Source organism: Homo sapiens, chromosome 13, assembly GCF_000001405.40.
Source record: "Homo sapiens chromosome 13, GRCh38.p14 Primary Assembly".
In the NCBI taxonomy this organism is placed as follows: Eukaryota; Metazoa; Chordata; class Mammalia; order Primates; family Hominidae; genus Homo; species Homo sapiens.
Genome location: NC_000013.11, coordinates 112,312,776 through 112,322,183, shown reverse-complemented (window position 1 = coordinate 112,322,183; position 9,408 = coordinate 112,312,776). Strand labels below are relative to the sequence as shown.

General features: G+C 47.5%; 1 long non-coding RNA gene across 1 annotated transcript; it reads right to left on the bottom strand.

The window, feature by feature from the left end:
• Positions 1-417: 417 nt before the first annotated feature.
• Positions 418-8,717, bottom strand: LINC01043 (long intergenic non-protein coding RNA 1043). Its single transcript, NR_135321.1, has 2 exons — positions 2,468-8,717; positions 418-1,072 (listed from the first exon to the last, which is right to left on the bottom strand). It is a non-coding gene; the product is annotated as a long intergenic non-protein coding RNA 1043 (long non-coding RNA).
• Between the last annotated feature and the right edge of the window lie 691 nt (positions 8,718-9,408).

Sequence of the window (9,408 nt, the reverse complement as noted above, 5' to 3'; positions counted from 1 at the left end):
TCTACCTGACCCACAGCTAATATCCAGGCGACGCCCCACACCCACTCAGGGTCCTCCTCATCACTGCCCAGTGCTGCCACTCACTGACCGACCTTCTCACAGAGCAGACCTCATGAGGGGGATGCTAACGGCATCTACAGACAGTGGGGTTTGCTTCAGTGACCATCGCTCAAGGAGGCAGGTGCTACCCAGGCACCAGCAGTGTGGCTGTGCCATCAGTGGACAGGGCATCCATGCCATGAACAGGGGGACTCACTGTGCTTTTAGACACTTCTGACTTTTTGACTGCGCAGTTTCTAAATAATTGCCTTTTTCTTTGTGTGAGGTGGCACCCCCCCGTTGCCTGTTTCTCATTCAAAATAAAGGCAAGTATACTTGAGAAGGGTGGAAGGGGAAAAGAGAAAGGAAGACAATGTCTCCAGCTCCAAAATGTAAACTACTATATTTATCTTTTAAAGAAAGTTCAAGTTCCAAGATCTGTAAATGATGTGGGCTTTTATGATGGTGATTGTCTTGTTTTTCCAGCATGAGCAGTCACATGATTCTTAACCCCACAGTTAGGGGGCGGACGGACACTCATGCGTGCATGCATATATGGAGATGGTGTGGATTTTCTGAAAATGAAGAAAAAATGCTAAAAGTCATGAAAGAAAGGGCTTCCACTGGCTCTGCATCCTTAAGTGACGATTGATTGAGAAGTCAGCCTCTTGTTTTCTATGCCCACATCCCTGCAAGCTGAAAGTCAGAACAACTCTGCAGAGAATCCCATTGAATAAGCTTCTTCCCGGCCATTGCTGGCCTTGCTTGGGGGCTGAGCCATGGCTGCCTCTGGATGTACCATCAGCCTGGGTGATAAAAGGGCCAGGCACCTGGGGACGCCGCTCATCCTGGGCAATGGAGAGCTGCAAACATGGTTCATTCTGGAAACATTCTTTGTCCTGAGCAGCAGGGCTTCTCTGCATTCACCTGCTGAAAACTGGATTCTTCTCCTGCAGCCAAACACACTGTGTGCTCCACGTGCTCATGTGTGCATGCCTGTCCATCATCACCTTGTCTTGATTGTGAATCCTGCCTTTTGGTTTGTAAGAAAACCAAATTAATTCTCAGGCACAGATCATATCTAACTCCCCTCCCCTCACCTCTCCTCTCTTCCCCTCTCCTCCCCTCTCCTATCCTTCCCTTTCCATTTCTTTCCCCTTTCCTGTCCTTTCCTCTCCTTTCCTTCAGTGTCTTGCTCTGTCACCCAGACTGGAGTGCAGTGGCGCGATCTTGGCTCACTGCAACCTCTGCCTCCTGGGTTCAAGTGATTATTGTGGCTCAGCTTCCTGAGTAGCTGGGACTACAGAAGCTCACTACCATGCCTGGCCTAGCTCAGTGTTTTTGATGAATTAAGATCTAAAACATAAATCAGTGGTGTTTCTTTTTTTTTGTTTTTTTTGGAGGGGCTCAGGTTACTTGGGACAAGAACACATTTGCTGGTCCAATGGGTAGAAAGAACAGCCATGTGAGGATTTTGACACAAGTACTGATTGTGTGTGTGAGTGTGCATGTGTGTGTGACAGTGTGCAAGCATGTGCATGTATTTTGCATGTGACTGCATGCACATGTGTGTGTGAATGTGTGTGTATGCATGTGTGCAAATATGTGTGCATATGCATGAGTGTATACGGTGTGTGTGTCCGTGTGTATGGGAATTGTGTGCGTGTGTGCATTTGTGTGTGTGTATGTGCATTGCATTTGTGTACATGTGCGTGTGTGTGCATGTGTGTACATGTGCATGCGTGTGTGTGCATGTGTGTGTGTTGCCTGAGCCTTCGATTGAATGAAAGCAGGCGGGTGGGTGAGTTGAGGCTGGAGGGCCCACATCACCTCTACCCTCTCTGATATGATCTCAGATCTTCACTTTTATTTTGCTACACATTTGTAGGAAAAAAGACCACTTTGGGCCCATGAACATGGAAACACCACAACGTATGTAGAGGAGCCTCCTCAAGACTAGCCTGGACTTTTCAAAGGAATAATGAAATTCCTTTAGATACTTTTTGTTTCTTGAATTTTAATGAAAAGATTGATTTCTAGTCATTATTTATCTATTGTCAAATGTTAACAAACAGCTGTAGTGATAATTGCTGAATCTCTACTCTATGTTTAGAGGAAGCTGTCAATTCACAAACATGGAATTGTGCTATTTCTATGTCTAAGGCATTTTTCTGTAAATATACAGATTTAGTGCTGGTTTTCAATAAATATACAAAGATGCTAATTATCACTAGAACTATTTGTTAACACTCAAAAATACATAAAAATAAATAAAAGAAATGCCATTTTTCCATTAGGAATTCAAAAAATATTTGTCTTGAGGCAGTGTCTTCCATGCTGTTCTAGGAACTGCACTGTCATTATCTTGTGCTCACGTCACCTTTAGTTTTCCAGCCCTGGCTCGCTCACCTCTGCCTCGAGCCCTTACCCGGTGTGTGCTCTCGCTTCCCTGGAGCACTCGGTATGTTGCTCGTGGGCCTTCTTCGAGGCCGCCCACATCGTGGTGGGTTACAGGAGAAGGGAGCCGTGTGGATACTAGGTCTTCAGGTGCCCTTGGATCTGAAGTTCCCCAGGCACCGATGTTGCTGTGGTGTCCGCCTCAGAGCAGCCTTCCCTGCCAAGTTCAGCTCACAGGAACACTGGACTCGGGCTGCACAGGCACACGCCCTGGCAGAAGCTGATGTGGGAGAAGAACTCCAACCACGAAGGGAGGCTGACCAATGGCACCAGCTTCTGAGCTTGGCCTGAAGAGGACTCATGAGCTAAAAAACGTTTTTCTACTAGTTTACAAGTTTTTGATTTTGCCACCATGTTACCAAACCCAGTCAACTGGAGCAAGGGTGCTGTGGGGTGATCTGCATGTTTGATGGCTCCATCTTGAAGGAACGGTCCACCCTTACCTGGCTGCATCCAGGAGAGGGCCATGCTTATCCGACTCCATCCTGAGGAAGTAGTCCATGCTTACCTGGCTCCATCCTGAAGGAATGGTCCATGCTTACCGGACTCCATCCTGAAAAAAAGGTGCATACGTACCTACCTCCATCCAGAAGGAATGGTCCATGCTTACCTGGCTGCATCCTGAAGGAATGGCCCACACTTAGCTGGCTGCATTCAGAAGGAATGCTACATGCTTATCTGACTCCATCCTTAAGAAATGGCTCATGCTTACCAAGTTGCATCCTGATGGAATGGTCCGCACTTACCTGGCTCCATCCTGAAGGAAATGTCCACACCTACCTGGCACTATCCTGAAGGAATGGTCCATGCTTACCTGGCTGCATCCTGAAGGAATGGTCCATGCTTACCTGGCTCCGTCCTGAAGGAAAGATCCACACCTATCTGGCACTATCCTGAAGGAATGGTCCATGCTTACCTGGCTGCATCCTGAAGGAATGGTCCATGCTTACCTGGCTCCGTCCTGAAGGAAGATCCACACCTACCTGGCACTATCCTGAAGGAATGGTCCATGCTTACCTGGCTGCATCCTGAAGGAATGGTCCATGCTTACCTGGCTCCGTCCTGAAGGAAAGATCCACACCTACCTGGCACTATCCTGAAGGAATGGTCTATGTTTACCTGGCTGCATCCTGAAGGAATGGTCCATGCTTACCTGGCTCCGTCCTGAAGGAAGATCCACACCTACCTGGCACTATCCTGAAGGAATGGTCCATGCTTACCTGGCTGCATCCTGAAGGAATGGTCCATGCTTACCTGGCTCTGTCCTGAAGGAAGATCCACACCTACCTGGCACTATCCTGAAGGAATGGTCCATGCTGACCTGGCTGCATCCTGAAGGAATGGTCCATGCTTACCTGGCTCCGTCCTGAAGGAAGATCCACACCTACCTGGCACTATCCTGAAGGAATGGTCTATGTTTACCTGGCTGCATCCTGAAGGAATGGTCCATGCTTGCTTGCTTCTGTACTGAAAGAATGGTTCTTACTTACCTGGCTGCATCCTGAAGGAATGGTCCATGCTTACCTGGCTCCATCCTGAGGGGATGGTTCATAGTTTCTGACTGCATCCTGAAAAAATGGTCCCTGCTTACCTGGCTCCATTCTTAAGAAATGGTTCACACTTACAGGGCTGCATCCTGATGGAACGGCCCATGTTTACCTGGCTGCATCCTGACAGAATGGTTCATGCTTACCTGACACCATCTGAAAGAATGGTCCATGCTTACCTGGCTGTATCCTGACAGAATGGTCCACCCTTACCTGGCTGTATCCTGACAGAATGGTTCATGCTTACCTGGCTGCATCCTGATGAAATGGTTCATGCTTACCTGGCTCCATTCTTAAGGAATGGTCCATGCTTACCTGGCTCCATGCTGAGAGAATGGTCCATGCTTACTTGGCTCCATCCTGAGGGAATCGTCCACAGTTACCTGGCTGCATTCTGAAAAAATGGTACATGCTTTTCTGACTCCATCCTGAAGAAATGGTTCATGCTTACGTGGCTGCATCCTGACAGAATGGTCCATGCTTACCTGGCTCCATCCAGAAGGAATGTTTTGTACTTACCTGGCTGCATCCTGAATGAGTGATCCATGCTTACCATGCTGCATTAGGAAGGAATGGTTGACACTTACCTGGGTCCATCCTGAAGGAGTGGTCCACTCTTATGAGGCTACACCCTAAAAGAAAGGTCCATACTTATCAGGATTCATCCTGAAGGATTGGTTCATGTTTACCTCACTCCACGGTGAAGTAATGGTTCATGCTTACCTGGCTGCATCATGAAGGAATGGTCCATGCCTACCTGGCTCCATTCTGAAGTAATGGTTCATGCTTACCTGACTGCATCCTGAAATAATGGTCCACGCTTACATGGCAGGATCCTGAAGGAATGGTTCATGCTTACCTGACTGCATCCTGAAATAATGGTCCACGCTTACCTGGCAGGATCCTGAAGGAATGGTTCATGCTTACCTGACTGCATTCTGAAAGAATGGCCCATGCTTACCTGGCTCCATCCTAAAGGAATTGCCTATGCTTAACTGGCTTCATCATGGAGGAATGGTTCATGCTTACCTGGCTCCAACCTGAAGGGTTGGTCTCTGCCTACATGGCTGCATTCTGAAGGAATGGTTCATGCTTACCTGGCTTTATCCTGAAAGTATGTATCGTATTTATGTGGCTGTATCCTTAAAAAATGGTCCATCCTTTCCTGGCTGTATCCTGAAAGAATGGTCCCTGGTTACCTGGCACCATCCTGAAGAAATGGTCCACACTTACCTGGCTCCATACTGAAGGAATGGTCCACACTTACCTGCCTGCATCCTGAAGCAGTGGTCCATGCCTACCAGCCTCCATCTTGAAGGAATGGTTCATATTTGCCTAGCTGTATCCAGGAGGAATGGTCCACGCTTACCTGCCTGCATCCTGAAGGAACTGTCCATGCTTACCTCACACCATCCTGAAGGAATGGTCCAGGCTTACCTGGATGAATCCTGAGGGAGTGGTCCATGCTTACCAGGCTCCACCCTAAAGGAAAAGTTCATGCTTACCTGGCCACATTCTGAAAAAATGGTTCATGCTTACCTGGCTCCATCCTGAAGGAAGTGTCCAGACTTACCTGGCTGCATCCCGAGGAAAGGTTCATACTTTCCTGCCTGCATCCTGAAAAAAATGGTCCCTGCTTACCTGGCTACATCCTGAAGGAATGCCCACACGTACCTGTTTGCATCCTGAAGGAATGATCCATGCTAACCTCACTGCTTTCTGAAGGAATAGTGCATGCTTACCTTGTTCCATCCTGAAAGAATTGTTCCTGCTTACCTGGCTCCTTCCTGAAGGAATGGCCATACTTACCTGGTTGCATCCTGAAGGAATAATTCATACTTACCAGGATGCATCCTGAATGAATGGTCCATTATTACCTAGCTTCATCCTGAAGGAATGGTCCATGCTTACCTGGTTCCATGCTAAAGAATGGTCCATTCTTACCTGGTTCCGTGCTAAAAGAATGGTCCATGCTTACCTGGCTACATCCTAAAGGAATGATCCATGCTTAACTGGCTGCATTCTAAAGGAATGGTATGTGCTTACCTGACTCCACTATTAAGAAATGGTTCATGCTTACCCGACTGCATCCTGACAGATTAGTCCATGTTTACCTTGCTGCATCCTGATGGAATGGTTCATACTTATCTGGCTCCATCCTGATGGAATGGTTCATGCTTACCTGGTGGCATCCTGAAGGAATGGTTCATGCTTACCTGGCTGTATCCTGAGGGTATGTGTCATACTTAACTGACTGTATACTTAAAAACTGGTCCATGCTTACCTGGATGCATTCTGAAGGAATGGTTCAGGCTTACCTGGCGGCATCCTGAAGGAATGGTCCATGCTTACCTGGCCGCATTATGAAGGAATGGCTGATGCTTACCTGGCGGTATCCTGAAGGAACGGTCCACACTTGGCAGGCTCCATCCTGAAGGAATGGTCCATGCTTACCTGACTGCATTATGAAGGAATGGCTGATGCTTACCTGGCTGCATTATGAAGGAATGGCTGATGCTTACCTGGCTGCATCCTGAAGGAATGGTCCACACTTGGCAGGCTCCATCCTGAAGGAATGGTCCATGCTTACCTGGCCGCATTATGAAGGAATGGCTGATGCTTACCTGGCTGCATCCTGAAGGAATGGTCCACACTTGGCAGGCTCCATCCTGAAGGAATGGTCCATGCTTACCCAGTTGCAACCTGAAGGGATTGTTGACAGTTACCTGGCTCCATCTTGAAGGAATGGGTCATGCTTACCTGGTTGGATCCTGAAGAAATGGTTCCTGATTACCTGGCTGCATCCTCAATAAATGATCTACTCCTACCTGTCTGCATTCTGAAGGAATGGTCCATACTTACCTTGCTGCATCCTTAAAGAATGATTCCTGCTTACCTGGCTTGGTCCTGAAAAAATGGTCCACGCCTACCTGGCCACATCCTGAAGGAGTGGTCTATGCACACCTGGATACATCCTGAAAAAATGGTTCATGCTTACCTGGCTGCATCCTGAAGGTATGTATCATAATTACCTGGCTGTATCTTTAAAAACTGGTCATTGCTTTCCTGGCTGCATCCTGAAAGAATAGTCTATGCTTACCTGGCTCCATACTGAAGAAATGGTTCATACTTACTTGGCTGCATCCTGAAAGAAATGTTCATGCTTACCTGGCCACATTTGAAAAATATGGTTCATGCTAACCTGGCTCCATCCTGAAGAAACTGTGCACACTTACCTGGCTGCATCCTGAAGGAATGGTTCATACTTTCTTGCCTGCATCCTGAAAAAAATGGTCTCTGCATACCTGGCTGCATTCTGAAGGAATGGTCCACACTTACCTGGCTCCATCTTGAGGGAATGGTCCACACTTACCTAGCTGCACTCTGAAGGAATGGGGTGTGCTTGTCTGACTCCATCCTTAAGAAATGATTCATGCTTACCAGGCTACATCCTGACAGAATGGTCCAGGCTTACCTGGCTCCATCCTGAGGGAATAGTCCGCACTTACCTGGCTGCATTCTAAAGGAATGTTACATGCTTATCTGATTCCATCTGAAAGCATGGTCCATGCTTACCTGGCTGCATCCTGAAAGAATGGTCCATACTTATCTGGCTAGAGTCTGAAAAACATGGTTCATACTTACCTGGCTGCATCCTGAAATAATGGTCCATGCTTACCTGGCTACAGTCTGGAAAACATGGTTCATGCTAACCTGGCTCCATCCTGAAGGAATTGTGCACACTTACCTGGCTGCATCCTAAAGGAATGGTTCATACTTTCCTGCCTGCATCCTGAAAAAAATGGTCCCTGCTTACCTGACTGCATCCTGAAGGAATGGTCCACTCTTACCTGGCTCCATCTTGAAGGAGTGGTCCATGCTTATGTGGCTACATACTGACGGAATGGTCCATGCTTACCTGGCTGCATCCTGAAGAAATGGTCCACGCTTACCTGGCTGCATCATGGAGGAATTTTTCATGCTTACCTGGCTCCATCCTGAAGGAATTGTCCATACTTATCTGGCTGCATCCTGATGGAATGGTCCATGCTTACCTGGCTCCATCCAGAAAAAATGTTTCGTGTTGACCTGGCTGCATCCTGAATGAATGATCCATGCTTACCACGCTCCATTTGGAAGGAATGGTCCATGTTTACCTGAGTCCATCCTTAAAAAATGGTCCATGCGTTCCTGCCTACACCATGAATGAAAAGTTCATGCTTACCTGGCTGCATCCTGAAGGAATGTTTTGTACTTACCTGGCTGCATCCAAAAGCAATGGCTCATGCTTACCTGGTTCCATCCTGAAGGAATGGTCCATGCTTACGAGGCCACATGATGAAAGACAGATCCATACTTACCTGCATTTACCCTGAAAGAATGGTTCATGCTTACCTGACTCCATCCTGAAGGAATGGTCCATGCTTACTTCTCTCCATGGTGAAGAAATGGTTCAGGCTTACCTGGCTGCATTCTGAAGAAATGGTCCATCCTTACGTGGTTCCATCATGAAGGAATGGTCCATGCTTACCTGGATTCATCGTGAAGGAATAGTTCTTGTTTACCTGGCTGCAATCTGAAGGAACGGTCCATGCTTTCCAGGCTCCATTCTCAAGAAATGGTCCATGCTTACTTGGCTGCATCCTGAAAGAATGGTTCATATTGACCTGTCTGCATCCTGAAGAAATGGTCTATGCTGACCTGGTTCCATCCTGAAGGAATGGTCCATACTTACCAGGCTCCATCTTGAAGTAATTCTCCATGCTTACCTGCCTTCATCCTGAAGGAACGGTTCATGCTTACCTGGCTCCAACCTGAAGGAATGGTCTCTGCCTACATGGCTGCATCCTGAAGGAATGATTCATGATTACTTGGCTGTATCCTGAAGGCATGTATCATACTTACCTGGCTGTATCCTTGAAAATGGTCCATGCTTTCCTGGCTGCATCCTGAAAGAATGGTCCACGCTTACCTGGCTCCATACTGAAGGAATTGTCCATGCTTACCTTCCTGCACCCTGAAGAAATGGTCCATGCTTACCTGGCTGCATCCTGATAGAATGGTCCATGCTTACCTGAGTCCATCCTGAAGAAATTTTCCCTGCTCACATGGCTGCATCCTGAAAAAATCGTCCCTGCTTACATAGCTGCATCCTGAAGGAACGGCCACGCTTATCTTGCTGCATCCTGAAAAAATGGTCCATGCTTACCTGACTCCATTTTGAAGGAATGGTCCACAATCACACAGCACCATCCGGAAAGAATGGTTCATGCTTACCTAGCTACATCCTGAAGGAATGGTCTATGCTTACCTGGATTCATCCTGAGGGAATGGTCTATGCTCACCTGGCTGTATCCTGCAGATA